Below are 16639 nucleotides of genomic sequence, written 5' to 3' on the forward strand. Positions count from 1 at the left end.
AGCGATTCTCGTGCCTCAGCCTCCCCAGTAGCTGAGACTACAGGCGCGTGCCACCACACCCAGCTAATTTTTTGTACTTTAGTAGAGACGGGGTTTCACCATATTGCCCAGGGTGGTCTCAAACTCCTGAGCTCAGGCGATCCATCTGCCTCAGCCTCCCAAAGTGCTGCAATTACAAGTGTGAGCCACCGCACCCAGCCTTTTTTTTTTTTTTTTTTTTTTTTTTTAAAGACAGAGTCTCACTCTGCTGTCTAGGCTGTAGTACAATGGTACAATGGTGTGATCAGGGCTCACAGCAGCCTCAACCTACTGGGTTCTAACAATCCTCCCACTTCAGTCTACCAAAGTTCCAAAGTACTGGGATTATAGGCATGAGCTACCATCCGACCTGTCTGTTAATTTCCAAAAGGGATAATAAAAAACAAACTGGAAGCTCTGTGTGCATGGGGAAGTTTCCTGATGGTGAGCTTCCATCTATCTGGTGATCAGACACAGACTAGCCATTTCATCAGGTGACTCCAAAAATTCAGTATATAGATAGGTCTCTTCTCCTGCTGCAGTTTACTAAGGAAGAAATCCACCAATTCTGCCTGAAATATGTAAGACAGGTTGCAAGCATTCTGGGAGCCAAACTGGAGCGTCTCAACATTCAGTATGCAACCATTCACTGTTTTCAGTATGCGGTCTCGCTCTTGCTATATAAGCTGTACCTGGAGCCCCTGACTCTGTTTCAATCCCTTTATAGCTTCACTGTCCAATAGGGTACCACTAGCCACATGTGTCTATTTATTTATTTTACTTTAAGTTCTGGGATACATGTGCAAAATGTGCAGGTTTGTTACACAGGTATACATGTGCCATGGTGGTTTGCTGCACCTATCAACCCATCATCTAGGTTTTCAACCCCGCATGTATTAGGTATTTGTCCCAATGCTCTCCCTCCCCTTGCCCCCCACACCCCCACAGGCCCCAGTTTGTGACATTCCCCTCCCTGTGTCCATGTGTTCTCATTGTTCAACTCCCACTTATGAGTGAGAACATGTGGTGTTTGGTTTTGTGTTCTACATGTGTATTTAAATGTAAATTAATCAAATCTAAATAAAATAAAAATTCAGTTCTTTTGTCACACTATACACTTTCAAGTACTCAGTAGCCACTATGGCTACCGTATTGGACAATGCAGATACAGAACATGCTCATCACCACAGCAAGTACAAATGGGATGGTGCTTCTCTAAGGAGTAAACACCAGTCTTCTGCTGAGGCAAGAAGTGAGTCATCATCTGGCCACTGAGCTAACGGAGAAAACCTAAGGATCTACCTACTCCTTAGAATAAATTCCGGACTTCTGCTGATGCAAGTAAGGAATGGTCTGTGGCTGTGGGGCTGAGGGCAAGAATCTGAGGGTGTAAATCTTAGAGCCGTGGTGTTTAATATGGGAGCTACCAGTCACATGCAGCAATTTAAATTTAAATAAATCAAATTAAAATAAAATTTAAAATTTGGTTCCTTAGTTGCACTAGCTATATTCCAAGCATTCAACAGCCACATAAACAAGTGGTTACAGTATTGGACCAGTGTCGATTATAAAACATTTCCATCATTCAGAAAGTTCTACTGGACAGCACTGCCTTAGACATTCCACAAACCATCATGTTTTCAGTACTTAATCCCTATATTCAGAGTTACATGTTTCCTCCAATACTCAAGCCATTCCCAGGTTTGACGCTGTAAATCAACTTGAATCTGATTGCCTTCTCCCATAGCAGGCACAAGTTTCAGCTTTCTTCATTCTGCTAAGGTTGCTACCACCAGGACTCTAGCCAGTCTTTATTTGAATTAGAAAAGGTAACCCCTTTAGAATGAGTGGAATGTACTTTTGTAGGAAGAAAAAGAAGACCTTTCTTCTGGATGTCTGCAAACCCTCTGCCAGGGCACACAGCATAAAGTACCATTTCACTGCTACTTGCTCCTCAGCCAAATAATTTTGGGCAATCTAAGTAAAGGTACTTGTTTCTACTATTCTATTTTCCATTTTCAGAAATTCTATTGACATCTCTTCCCCACTGTCCTCTTTCTTCTCTTTCATACTTTGTCCATAGGGGATTATATCATAGTTTATTCCTTAACTATCATTTAAGAGGATTCCACATGGATTTAATCCTCACTAAACTAAAAGTCATAATTAATATTTTCCACTTGTATTTTGTTCTTTCTGTTATAATTCCATCTCTCAGTGCCAAGAATGTACTCCAATCAATCCCACAACAAATCCCAAGTAGATATATACCTGAGTGGGAAATAGGTAGAGAGACTTCAGAGTCACTTTTGTAAATAACTAACAACCAGAATTATCAGTTCACAAGCAGAAAGTTATTATCTGGGTTTTCCAAATGCTATCCTAGAGCCTAAGCTAAAACTCCTACCAAAGTGCAAAAGGCAATGCTCAGAAAAACTTTAGACAACAGTGCTTGAACAACAAATTGGCTCTTGATTTAGGTGCTTTTTGATTTACCAGTCATAAACAGATAAAATTATGAATAAAAATGAGAAGAAACATTATAATATTTTTATTACAAACCTGTGCTGGTGGTACTTGCAATGGATTGTTATCCAAAATTATTACTTGTAAATGATGCAGCTTTCTGTAACAAACTGGAATTTCGGTCACTTTATTACAAGAGAAATCCAGCTTGACTAAGGGAAGGTCTCCTAATTCTGGTCAGAAATGAAAAATAATTAATTAAATTTTACATAGTTACTCTCTTATTCATGTGAGTAAAAACAGTGAACATCTTACCATCTGGCAAAACATGAAGATTATTTCTTCTTATATTTAGCTCTCTAAGTGAATGTAATTTTCCCATTTGTTGGGGAAGGACTTGAATCTCATTGCAGCTAATATCCTAAGGAGAACAATAAAACAGAATTATAACAAGCTAACTGAGAAATACATATATTATATATATATATTCTAATTTTTAAATTAAAGCACATGGTTAATAGCTAGCAAAAGTTATCCTCTAATGTCATTGCTCTAAAGATGGATTATCTGGCAGATTTCTATTTATACGACATCATGAAGCCGACCTAGTACAGTAAATAGAAACTTCCCATACAAAAATTTGAGGTTATATCTTAGTAACTACAACCTCTCGAAAATCTCAACTAAAGGCCAACTCATACCAGCCAAAACCAGAAGTAAGAATGATCCAGCACTCTTCACGTGGAGGTAAAGTAAAAGACTAACAACTCTCAAACATTGTGTAATCTGTCAATTACAGTAGTTGTCTCGAGATACTTGGCTGGGCAGAAGCTAAGAAAGTCAAGGATTTATAAATGTGCACTGGCGAAACAGACTATGATAAAGATTGATTTAACTAAATCTCTTTCTCCAAAGGGATACAAAATGAGAAGTTACAAGCCCCAACACTTGTGACTCATCTCATAGCTCAAAGACATTCTAAGAGATCTGAGTTGGAAATCTCTCAGGTTATCTAAGGTGTCTCTCAGGAAATCTCTGTGGTTAAAATCCAAGCCCCAATTTAAAGGCAAACGATATCAAGTTTCCATAATAACAAATTGAGGTTTTTATTTATTATCATAATTAAAAAAAACAGAAAAAAGAACAGTTTAAGTTAACTGTGCTCTCTCCCCTCTTTCTTATAATAACATCAACAACAAAAAAAAGAGAAATCTACAACATGGTCTCAGACAGTAATCATTCCAGACACACTTCAAATGAAATTCATATTCTAATGCAACTGCCCCCAATTTCCAACTTTTAGTGAAAATGATAATAGCTTGGAGGGAGGAGAATAGTACATACATTCAGTTTTCAAAATAATATTAAAACCATGTAGGGAAGAATATAATAATGCTATAGATGATTAGGAAAATATATCCTACATACCTCTTTCAAACAATATCTAAGGCATCTTCATTCAACAATAAATATTTGTTGAATACTATTAACATTTGCTAGGTACTGTTCCAGGGACTGGGGATTTATCAAGGGGCAAAACAAAATTTCCTGCTGTCATAGCTCCTCATGGAGTTTACATGCTAGCAAGGGGAGTAAATTATATAATATGCTAGAAGGTGATAAGTGCTATTTAAAAAAGATAACAGGGTAGGAAAATGGCTATGCTCGCAATAGTGGGGAGGGATACTACTTTATCTCATAGAGAAGGTGATATTGAGCAGTACTGTCAGAGCTAAAAGGTGAACCATACTAATATATAAGAAAGGAATATTCCAGACAGAAGGAACAATAAAAGTGAAGGCGCTCAGGCAGAGCGCACCTGACAGGTACAAAGAACAGCAAGGAATCCAGTGTAACTAGAGGGAAATGGGCAAGGGAGAGAGTAGAATAGAGGGAGGGATATGACTTTAGCTTTTATTCTGAGAGATGTGGGCAGGATCCAGAAACTTTTGAACATGGGATTGACATGATCTGACTTATATTTTGACAGGATCACCTTAGCTGCTATGTTCAGAATAGACTACTATTCAAACGATGGATAATAGAAGTTTGTGAAAATGTTATTTAAACATTATTGCTTCTTTCTAAAGGTATTTGATACTTATGATTTCCATATGGAAAATCCATAGAAATTTGAGAGATAGCTGTCATTTCCCAAGAGAAATAAACCCAGGCATAGGAAATGAACCCACTCCAGTGGGTGCTCTACAAAATAGTCTGCAAAGGATTGGAAGCCAGAGAGTATTTCCTAGGTTTCTAATGACAGAATTTCATTGCAGTTGATTATCACATGATGTGGAAAAGTATCAAGAGAAAATATTCCAATGACAGGGAATATCCACCAATTCAATATGTGATTTACAACTGTCAATTAGCCCTCCTAATGCTATCTACCCATCTACTGTTACTGATTTCAAGAGTTTAAAGCATAATAATTTTACAGTACCTAGTAAAATAATAGTGTTAAACATTTTAGAATTTTCTACATAAATTAAAAAACAGTTGGTCCTCTGTATCCATGGGTTCTGCATCCATGAATTCAACCAAATACAAATCAAAAATATTCAGGAAAAAAAAAGCATGGTTGTGCCTGTACTGAACATATATTAACTTTTTTTTCTTGTCATTACTCCTTAAATAATACAACGTAACAACTACTCACACAGCATTTACACTGTATTAGGTATTATAAGTAATCTAGAAATGATTTAAAGTATATGGGAGAATGTATTTAGGTTATATGTAAATATTACTATTGTATATAAGAGACTTGAGCATTCGTGGATTTTGGTATGGGGTGAATCCTGGAACCAATCCCCCATAGAGGGACAACTGTACTAGAATTAATATAAAACTCCTAATTATTTTTTACATTTCATTTATCTAAAAATTACATCATGTAATGTAATTAAAAACGTAGGGCCAAAAACTAAATTAAAAACAAATAAATTACGGAGACATAAAATCTTAAATTATAACCTTTATAAAATCTGGAAAAACATTAATAGTGTTCAAGTCAAACAAAATAATGGTACCTTTTATTATGAACTTGTTAGATCATATCTGGAATCTCTGTTCATTTTTTAGTACAACATTAAGTGAGACTTTAACTAAAAGGAACATTTTCTAAATCGAATTAGCTAAAAGTAAAAAGTCATAAAAAGGAATAAAGGTAATAAGGATGTTTAAGCTATAGAAAAACACATCTTAAGAGTTTGGTACGCTGGGCGCGGTGGCTGACGCCTGTAATCCCAGCACTTTGGGAGACCGAGGCAGGTGGATCACGAGGTCAGGAGTTCAAGATCAGCCTGGCCAAGATGGTGAAGCCCCATCTCTACTAAAAATACAAAAAATTAGCCGGGCGCGGTGGCAGGTGCCTGTAATCCCAGCTACTCGGGAGGCTGAGGCAGGAGAATTGCTTGAACTCAGAGGGTGGAGGTTGCAGTGAGCCAAGATCGCACCACTGCACTCCACCCTGGGCGACAGAGTGAACTTCGTCTCAAAAAAAAAAAAAAAAAAAAAAAGAGTTTGGTAAAATGGAGTGTAAACACACAACAGATTACAAATATCTGAAGGGGAGAGAAGTTGTCATTATCTATATTTCTTCACATGGTAGTCCCAGGCCCAATGGAAAAAAATGATAGAAGCATGTATTTTGGTTCAAAATAAGAAAGATTAATAACAAATAGAGTTTTGCAAAGAAGAATTAGGACAGTCACGCATGCACACGCACGCACACGCACACACACACACACACAGAGTTGTCCACCATTGAAAATATACAGTAGATGTATCAGGGATTCCTACATTAGAAAGTGGTTGTATCTGATCACTTCTAAGATCTTTTATAACTTCAAAATTATATGGTTCTAAAACATAAGGTGAAATTCAAGGAAGTTTCCTTGTATTATAATTGGACATGCAGGTATTCCTTAATGAATAAAAGGTATTCCTGAAATTTCTGCTCATTACATTCTGTTAATATTAATTTCTCATTATGAAATTGTAGGTAAGTTCCTCAAGAAAACTTTTGACCTCCCCGGACATAATAAAGTCATACATAAGAATATTTTAGGACTTTAGTCCATGCACAGTGGCTGACACCTGTAATGCCAGCACTTTGGGAGGCCGAAGCAAGTGGATCACTTGAGGCCAGGAGTTCAAGACCAGCCTGGGCAACACAGTGAAACCCCATCTCTACGAAAAATGCAAAAATAAGTTGGGTGTGGTGGCGCATGGCTGTAATCCCAACGACTTGGGAGGCTGAGCACGAGAATAGCCTGAACCTGGGAGGCGGAGGTTGCAGTGAACCAAGATCATGTCACTACACACCAGTCTGGGCAACAGAGCGAGACTCTATCACAAAAAAAAAACTTTAAAAATACCTGTTTATTAGGAAAGCATCATTCAAAATAAAAGAAAAACATGAAGCATGGTATACTGCGTAAAGTGGAGGTAACCAGAAGATATGAAAAATAGCTGAAAGCTTCGAGGCTCTGAATATGTTTCTCTCAGAATTCAATGTCCTTTAATACCTAAAATGTTATGTCCAAGGTAATTAATTTAAATTATTCTGTATTTCTACAATCAATTGCATATAATGGCCTTTTACCATTTATTTCAGTCTAAAAAGTGTCATAACGTCACATAAGCAAACAGTGAGGAAGAGTTATGTTGCTAATTCTGTTTGCAGACACTCTCTTCTTTTATCTCCTTTGTTTAAGGATATATCATAGTCCTATAAAAGTTTTATTTTAAAAATTCCCTTAGCTTTCCTCTAAGACCTTTACTGTCCACAAAATGAGTAAACAAATGCTTATTCATTTGAAAAGTATTTCTTAAAGTTTGTAAGCAAGCCTTCTGACGTCACAAGGACTAAGGAAGAACCATGCTATTTTGTGACTGGAAAAACTCAGACATATAGTATCTCAAGATTTTACTAAATCTTACTGAATTTAGACATATACCAAGTTAGTACTTTTTTTAAAAATTACAATTAAATTCCATTAAAAATAGGTAATCTTCCAAAATGTAGATATATTACGCATATTGCATTAATTAATACAACTAAGTTACTCACCAATTCCATTAAATCTTTTAACTTCCCAATTTCTTCTGGAATGGATACCAGTTTATTATTACTGACGACCAAAACTTTAAGGGGAAGATCAAATAGGTATTTTGGCAATGTTGATAAAAGATTTCGGCTGAAAAGAATGAGAAAGTTTCATTACGAGAATATGTATGTAATGTGACATATTAAAAACGAAGAAATCACTTTGTAAGTAAATAATATTCTATCACTAAGTAATAACTTAATAAGTACTTGCTGAGTGCTCACTTTGTATCAGGCACAGTGTTAAATTTCTTATATGCACTGTCTCATTTAATCCTCATGTTAATGATACAAGATTAAGTAGTTATTATCTCCATTATACAAATCAGAAAATGAAAGTTAAAACTGGTTAAGTGATTTGCCCAACTACAGCAGAGATCCATAGCATAGCAAACCCTATGCAGGCAGACCTATGATACTACTCCACACACCATCAGTTCTCAAAAACCCAGAATGATTCCTCCGAGCTCAATAATGTCAGAACTTTGCTCCTTGATATAATTCTGGTATATTCAATACTTCCATGCTAGGGAAAGTCTCCAGGGATAAATGTGCATGCACTATGTTTAAGTTTATAAAAGAGTGAATAGGACTATATCTTCAAAAACATGTAGTAACCCTAACCCATTCCCTTTTAAGGTTTAACAGCCTATTAGCACCTTTATCTCAGCTCAAAGTTGATAAAACATTCTTATCTCTGTAGATACATTTAAATATAATAACTAACATTTACTGAGTGCCTACTATTGCCAGGCCATGTTCAGGGCAGCTCATGTGAATTAACTCTCACAGTGATCCTCATTTTGCAGCAGGTCATGTGAATTAACTCTCACAGTGATCCCCATTTTGCAGATGAAGAAATAGTCACAAAGAGTTTAAGTAAACTGCTCAAAGTCACACAGCTGTTAAATGGGAGAGGCAGGATTCAAACTCAGGCAATCTGGCTCTGGGGTCTTTGCCCTCAAAGTACTATGGTCAAATTTATATGCCAAAACAGACTGACTGACCCAAAGGAACCACTAACAAAATGTATATTTTTCCATTCCATTTACATACTAACAAGCACTGGTAAGCGATAAGCTATTATTTTTCCTGTTTTTCAAAGTGTCATTTATAGACCTATACCTAGCATTTCGTGTAACATACACAGCAACAAAAGTCCAGTGTTACTCAAGGGGGACTTGAAAGACCCTCCTCCCCATCTTTTCTCTGGCAAAGGACATCCAGAAATACTAGACTGGCTTTAATAACACGGCACAAACAAACAAACAAAAAAATGGCAATGCCCCTCAACAAGCAATAATGGCCAGACTGCTGGAATGTCAAATGTGCTAGGGTCCTGTCATAATCCTTCATACTTTCAGGATGAAGCAGGCTCCTTGGAAAAATGGTCAGTCTGGGTCCCTTCATACCAGGGCACACAAGGATCTTTCTACAGGATTCTACTGAAAAAGGGGGGTAGTATATAGGAAGAGAGAAGAGTTGAAAAATTATTTTACAAGTTTATTAAGAGATTTTCACCAAAATAAATAAATACATGGAAGAAATAATGGCAAACTCATTCTAATACATCTTCAGGCCAAAAATAGCTTAAAAATCAATTTATTTTCTTCCCTTAAAAAGCATATTCAGGCCGGTCACAATGGCTCACGCCTGTAATCCCAGCACTTTTGAGAGGCCGAGGCGGGCAAATCATTTGAGGTCAGGAGTTTGAGACCAGCCTGGCCAACGTGGTGAAACACTGTCTCTACTAAAAATTAGTCGGGCCTGGTGACAGGCGCCTATACTTCCAACTACTTGGGAGGCTGAGGCAGGTGAAACATTTGAATTTGGGAGGCGGAGGTTGCAGTGAGCCAAGATGGTGCCACTCCACCCTGGGAGACAGAGCAAGACTCCGTCTAAAAAAAAAAAAAAAAATGCATATTCATTGAGTTAACACAATCATCTTTCACCAGAATCTGGTTTCTTAATACCGGCAAATAAATTATTAATTGTCACTATTTTACTACATGCCTTAGAGAAGAATTCAGTCACTAGAACAAATGTTATTTCAATATAGTTTGCTCAAAAATTTTTGTGACTGTAAAAAAAGATCAAAGTTGACTTTTACAGATCGTGACAGGATAGAATCAGAGAAAGTTTTAGTAAAACTAAGATTACCATATGTGTTAATAGAGAAGTGTAATTCAGTTTTTGGCGAATCACTTTTTCCGCAAAAGAACAAAATGAAACAGAAACAAAGACAAAACTTAAAAATACCTCACTTTCCTCAAACCTCTCCTAAGCCAGGCCAAGGAGATTTATACCTACTTAGAGAAAGGAGCAACCCAAATGATTGATATCTTTGGAAGGAAACTTCCCTCACACTTTTTTTTTTTTTTTTTTTTTTTGAGACAGAGTCTTACTCTGTCACCCAGGCTGGAGTGCAGTGGCGCGATCTCGGCTCACTGCAAGCTCCGCCTCCCAGGTTCACATCATTCTCCTGCCTCAGCCTCCCCAGTAGCTGGGACTACAGGCGCCCACCACCACGCCTGGCTAATTTTTTGTAATTTTAGTAGAGACAGGGTTTCACCATGTTAGCCAGGATGGTCTCGATCTCCTAACCTCGTGATCCACCCGCCTTGGCCTCCCAAAGTGCTGGGATTACAGGCGTGAGCCACCGCACCCAGCCAGGAAACTTCTCTCACACATTTTAAGGTGTAAAGTGGTTTCAGTTAAAATAGCTTGTACTGTCAGGTAACACCACTGGGGGAGTCATACAAAAGAACTGATATATCACAGTGAGAAGGGAACATTATCATTTATGTATATTAATTATATTTACTACTTCTCTATATGGGAATTTAGACAAGTAACTTGGTTAATGAGGAGATTATCCCTTCCAACTGAATAAAAAAAGAAAAAAATTCTAAAATTAAGTCACAATATATCAATTTTCATTCAATGTTACTGATTTGGCAGGGAAAGTTTTTTTCTTATACTTACTGAGTGTTCATTCTTTTACATATATAGGGTAAAAGCTATGTATGAATGAGAGCTCTATAGCCAGACTGCTTTGATTTTAATCTTGGCTCTACCACTTGCTGAATATATCTATGAATTTGGACAAATAGCTTAACCCAATTTCCTCATCTGTAATGCAGGGATAACAATGGTACCTATCTCAAAATGCTGTCATGAAAACTAGATAAGGTAATATGGGTAAAGCGTTTGGAACACTGACTGCCTGGCACATGGTAAGCACTTACTAAGTATAAACATGAACTGTCATCCACTTCCAAACCTTTCAACATTCTCACCCCACTCTAACCATCCTTGAAGTAGAAGCAAGAAGTCACAAAAGTGAGAAAAAATAACTCAAGCACTGTTTGTTTCACATATCTAAGGATGCATATAAAATCTGTATCGTGGTGCTATAATTTCAGGAAATATTTATGGTCTAAAGCCTTGCTACTCAAACTGAGGTCTAAGGACCAGCAGGTAGGCATGAGCATTGCCAAGGGGCCTGTTAGAAATGCAGGCCCCATAACAGACCTAAGAAATTAGAATCTGCATTCTAACAGATCCCCGGGTAATTCCTGTGTGTTAAAGTTTGCTAAGCTCTGCTCTCAAGAACAAGACAAAAGCCTACAAAATAATGTGAACATATAAAAAACACAAATAAGATACTGTTGAGATAAATTTAAGCTACACAGCCAAATCAAACATATTCCTTTGCGACTAAAAAAGGATTAGAACAACAATAAAAACCAAAATTTATTTTTAAATTGTTTCCTTACCTAATGTTAAGGTATGTTAACATCTGCAGATTTTTAATGGCTTCAGGAATGGTTTTGATGCAATTATGATATAAATTTAATGTTTCAAGGGGTGCAAATAACCAGACATCAGAAGGAATTTCTGTAAAACGATTTCTGGAAAGATCTGAAAAGAAAATAGTGAGTATTAAACATATACCTATATCTATGGTAATTAAAAGAACTATTTTCACACTTGCTGAATCACTTAGAATCTAAGCAACTACTTAAAATACTTTAAAATATACAATATTATCCATCAATACCTTGAAGGCAAAAAACATCATTTAGAAATACACTCATACGGCTGGGCGCGGTGGCTCACATCTGTAATACCAGCACTTTGGGAGGCCAAAGCAGGCAGATCTTTTGAGCTCAGGAGTTGGAGACCAGCCTGGCCAACATGGCGAAATCCTGTGTCTACTAAAAACACAAAAATTAGCCGGATGTGATGGTGGGCCCCTGTAATCCCAGCTTCTCAGGAGGCTGAGGCAGGAGAATCGCTTGAACCCAGGAGGCGGAGGTTGCAGGGAGCTGAGATCACGCCACTGCACTCCAGCCTGAGTGACAGAGCGAGACTCTGTCTCAAAAAAAGAAAAAAACCTCATAGAACGCATGTTTATTAACCAGATGTATTTGATATGCTTCAGTATACCTAAATTCCAAATATGCTATTTGTCTTTTAAAATACCAACGAAGAATTATCTCTGATCTTTAAAAGCAAACACAAAAATACCTCCCACGATCCCACAACCCCCTCCATCTGCCTCTTCTTTTACAGCCAAACTCACATAAACCCACAACACAACTAAATTTCTTACTTACCATGGACTTCTTAACCCACTGCAATTTGGTTTCTATCCACTCTCACATCCACCAATGTAACCAACAACCACCATATCAATAACCATTCCATATGTCTGGAAAGATTATTTTCCTCTGGCTTAGAAGACTACACTTCTGGGATCTCTTCCTACCTCTCTGGCTACTTCTTATTTTCTATTCCTAGGATTTCCTCTACCTGTATCATAGACGTTGGTGTTCCCAAGAACTATGACGTAAGGTACTCTTTTCCTTCTTGAGACATCCACCCCCCCAACCGGTAGGAGCCGCCCTCCACGAGAGCGCTCGAAGGCCGCGACTGAACTGCCGCGTCATCACTTCCCACTTCCTCTGACCCACCATTCGGCAGGGAGACATGATGGAAGCGGATCGCCCAGAGAAGCTTTTCATTGGGGGCCTCAACCTCAAAACCGACGAGAAAGCCCTCAAAGCCGAGTTTGGCAAGTATGGCCACATCATCAAGGTGTTCCTGATGAAAGACCGAAAAACCAACAAGTCGAGGGGCTTCGCGTTCGTCACCTTCGAAAGCCCTGCAGACGCCAAGGCTGCCGCCAGAGATATGAACGGCAAGTACCTGGATGGTAAGGCCATCATGGTGGCCCAGACCATCAAACCGGCATTCAAGAGCAGCCGATGGGTCCCGCCAACCCCCGGCAGCGGCAGTCGCTCAAGGTTCTCACACAGAACCCGTGGGGGTGGCAGCAGCCCACAGCGACCCCCCTCTCAGGGCAGGCCTGATGACGGCCGCGGCTACGCGGGGTATTTCGACCTGTGGCCCTACAGGGCCCCGATGCCCAGGAAGCGCGGGCCGCCACCGCGGCACTGGGCCAGCCCACCCCACAAGAGGGCCACGCCGTCGAGCCTGGCTCACAGCGTTGGCTGTGGAATGCGCGGGAAGGCACCGACTGTGTCGGGGCAAGATGGCTACTCAGGCTTGCAGCCACGGCGCTGGGCCGGCCCACCCCACAAGAGGGCTGTGCCCCGGTCAAGCCTGGCTCGCATTGGCGGCAGTGGAATGCCTGGGAAGGCCCCGGCCGTGTGGGGGCAAGATGGCTACTCAGGCCCGCGGGTCCGGGAGCCACTGCCCCCGTGCCGCGACCCTGGGGATTTTGTCCCTGCGCTCAGAGACTACAGCCGCCGCTATTATGGCCACTCCAGTGTCCCGGACTACCGTCCCTTGAGAGGCGACGGCAACCAAAATGGCTACAGGGGTCGCGACCATGAGTACACAGATCATCCCAGCAAAGGCTCCTACCGAGAGCCCCTCAAGAGCTACGGAGGCCCATGCGGCGCTGCCCCTGTGTGGGGGACACCGCCATCTTATGGAGGAGGATGCCGCTACGAGGAGTACCAGGGCAACTCGCCCGATGCCTGCAGTGAAGGCCGCTCGTCCGAGGCCTTGCCAGTCGTCTTGCCAGACGCCTACAGCAGGGACCACTCGCCCAAAGCCTATAGTGGGGGCCGCAGCAGTTCCAGTAACGGTTACAGCCGGAGTGACCGCTACGGAGAAGAAGGCTGCTACGAGGAGTACAGAGGCCGCTCGCCCGACGCCCACAGCGGGGGCCGCAACAGTTCCAGCAACAGTTACGGCCAGAGCCACCACTATGGAGGAGAAGGCCGCTATGAGGAGTACCGAGGCCGCTCACACGAGGCCCGCAGCGGGGGCCGCTCCACTGATGCCCACAGCAGGGGCCGGTCCGACGACGCCTACAGTGGGGGCCATGACAGTTCCAGCTGGAGCGACTGCTGCGGAGGAGGAGGCCGTTATGAGGAGTACCAAGGCCGCTCGCTGGATGCCAACAGTGGAGGCTGCTCGCCCGAGGCCTACAGTGGGGGCCACGACAATTCCAGCTGGAGCGACCGCTACGGAGTAGGAGGCCACTATGAGGAGAACCGAGGCCACTCTCTGGATGCCAACAGCGGAGGCCGTTCACCCGACACCCACAGTGGGGGCCACAGCAGTTCCAGCAACAGTTACGGCCAGAGCCACCGCTATGGAGGAGAAGGCCGCTATGAGTACCGAGGCCGCTCGCATGACGCCCACAGTGGGGGCTGCTCTGCCGACGCCTACAGTGGGGGCCACGACAGTTCCAGCCAGAGCAACCGCTACGGAGGAGGAGGCTGCTACGAGGAGTACCGAGGCCGCTCCCTCGATGCCAACAGTGGAGGCCGCTCGCCCAATGCCTACAGCGGGGGCCACGACAGTTCCAGCTGGAGCCACCGCTACGGAGGAGGAGGCCGCTACGAGGAGTACCGAGGCCGCTCCCTTGATGCCAACAGTGGAGGCCGCTCGCCTGATGCCTACAGTGGGGGCCACGACAGTTCTGGCCAGAGCAACTGCTACGGAGGAGGAGGCCGCTACGAGGAGTACCGAGGCCGCTTGCTCGATGCCAACAGTGGAGGCCGCTCGCCTGATGCCTACAGTGGGGGCCACGACAGTTCCAGCCAGAGCAACCGCTATGGAGGAGGCGGCCGCTACGAGGAGTACCGAGGCCACTCGCTTGATGCCAACAGCGGAGGCCGCTCGCCTGACACCTACAGCCGGGGCCACGACAGTTCCAGCCAGAGCGACCACTATGGAGGAGGAGGTCGCTCACTCGATGCCAACAGCAGTGGCCGCTTGCCTGACGCCTACAGTGGGGGCCATGACAGTTCCAGCCGGAGCCACCGCTACGGAGGAGGAGGCCGCTACGAGGAGTACCGAGGCCGCTCGCTCGATGCCAACAGCGGAGGCCGCTCACCCAATGCCTACAGCGGGGGCCACAACAGTTCCAGCCGGAACGACCCCTGCAGAGGAGGAGGCCGCTACGAGGAGAACCGAGGTCACTCTCTCGATGCCAACAGCGGAGGCCACTCACCCAACGCCTACAGTGGGGGCCGTGACAGTTCCAGCAACAGTTACGACCGGAGCCACCGCTATGGAGGAGGAGGCCACTACGAAGAGTACCGAGGCCGCTCGCACGACACCCACAGCAGGGGCCGATCGCCCGATGCCCACAGCGGGGACCACTACACCGAAGCCTACAGCAGGGGCCGCGACAGTTTCAGCAACAGCTATGGCCGGAGTGACCATTACGGAAGAGGAGGCTGCTACGAGGAATACCAAGGCCGCTCGCCCAATGCCTACGGCGGGGGCCGCGGCCTCAACAGTTCCAACAACAGTCATGGCCGGAGCCACCGCTACGGAGGAGGAGGCCGCTACGAGGAGTACCGAGGCCCCTCGCCTGACGCCCACAGTGGGGGCCGCGACAGTTCCATCAAGAGTTACGGCCTGAGCGACCGCTACGGAGGAGGAGGCCACTACGAGGAGTACCAGGGCAGCTTGCCTGACGCCTACAGCGGCGACCACGACAGATCCAGCAACAGTTACGGCCGGAGCGACCGCTACTCGAGGGGTCGAGACCGGGTAGGCAGACCGGATCGTGGGCTCCCTCTGCCCATGGAAACGGGCAGCCCTCCCCTGCATGATTCTTACAGCCGGTCAGGCTGCAGGGTGCCCAGGGGCGGAGGCCGTCAAGGAGGCCGCTTCGAGAGGGGGGAAGGCCGGAGCAGATACTAAGCAGGAACAGACTTGGGCCCAAAAATTCCTTTTCAAAGAAACAAAAAGAAGAACCTGTTCTATGTTAACTACCCAAGGACTAGTATAAGTAGGAGTTGTTTTTACCTTTTAAGAATTTCCTGTTAAGATCTCCATTTTTATGCTTTTGTGAGGAAAAACTTAAAATTAGTTTGAAATTGTTAATGTTTCTTTCAACAAGTTCTTGTTAAAAGTATAAGATATGAACCTGAGTCTTAGTCTTCTTCTATTTACAAGTTGAAATACGATTAATGGCTTCTTCCCTTGTAAATGTTCCTGATAAATGAGGCAAACAGTTCTAAGATCTTTCATAAACATCTGCTCACCTAAAATGGAAAAATGGATCATTCTGCTCACTTAAACCAACTAGATTGTGGGTGGAGAGTGGGAGGGATTGGTGTATACTACTCTTAAGATTTTAGGGTATCTTTCAAACTGAATCTCTGTGTTCCCAGTATTAAAAACCAAACAACCAGCAACAACAACAACAAAAATGATTTAGATCAAATGTTTATGAAAAATTATGTTCACTCAGTAAATCTGAAAAGTAAATGGAAAAAAAAAAGATACTCTACTGGGTGATTTCATCCAACCTAGATCCAAATTATATTTACATACCGATGAATTGCAAATTAAGGATATGTCTAAAAGCCTATGTTCTGATCTTCAGGACTTCACCTTGATATCTCTCAGGCACCTCAAATTCTACAAATATAACATCTGAAATGAAGATCTTTTCCCACAATTTTTTTTTTCTCATCTCAATGTCAACAACATCCTCCTGGTGAGTTGCTCAAGCCAGAAACCTGGTATTCATCCTTG

The 16639-nt window shown here is 42.6% G+C and overlaps 2 protein-coding genes across 5 annotated transcripts in view, besides 1 other annotated feature; one reads left to right on the forward strand and one right to left on the reverse strand.

Annotated features, from left to right (window-relative positions):
- LRCH2 (leucine rich repeats and calponin homology domain containing 2) overlaps positions 1-16639 on the reverse strand; it is a 123481-nt gene that overhangs the window by 66231 nt on the left and 40611 nt on the right. For all 4 annotated transcript variants that reach the window (XM_006724724.4, NM_001243963.2, NM_020871.4 and 1 more), the window contains exons 2-5: positions 11380-11524; positions 7565-7691; positions 2800-2905; positions 2581-2717 (exon numbers count right to left, since the gene is read on the reverse strand). In XM_006724724.4, the coding sequence (XP_006724787.2) occupies positions 2581-2717; positions 2800-2905; positions 7565-7691; positions 11380-11524 (515 nt within the window). The remainder of the gene's footprint in view (positions 1-2580; positions 2718-2799; positions 2906-7564; positions 7692-11379; positions 11525-16639) is intronic.
- RBMXL3 (RBMX like 3) lies at positions 12564-16022 on the forward strand. The gene has a single exon (NM_001145346.2). The coding sequence runs from the start codon at positions 12596-12598 to the stop codon at positions 15797-15799; it is 3204 nt and encodes a 1067-aa protein (NP_001138818.1). The 5' UTR covers positions 12564-12595; the 3' UTR covers positions 15800-16022.
- Positions 12686-13187: an enhancer, noted in NCBI's record as "H3K4me1 hESC enhancer chrX:114424095-114424596 (GRCh37/hg19 assembly coordinates)". NCBI's record gives its function as "activates a minimal SCP1, AML or CMV promoter by ChIP-STARR-seq in naive H9 embryonic stem cells {active_cell/tissue: H9 hESC(naive)}" and the evidence as "EXISTENCE:reporter gene assay evidence [ECO:0000049][PMID:30033119]".

This window comes from Homo sapiens, chromosome X, assembly GCF_000001405.40.
Source record: "Homo sapiens chromosome X, GRCh38.p14 Primary Assembly".
NCBI classification, from domain to species: Eukaryota; Metazoa; Chordata; class Mammalia; order Primates; family Hominidae; genus Homo; species Homo sapiens.

Excerpts from the sequence above, each read along its gene's own strand:
- RBMXL3 (NM_001145346.2), top strand. The coding sequence starts at position 12,596 with ATGATGGAAGCGGATCGCCCAGAGAAGCTTTTCATTGGGGGCCTCAAC.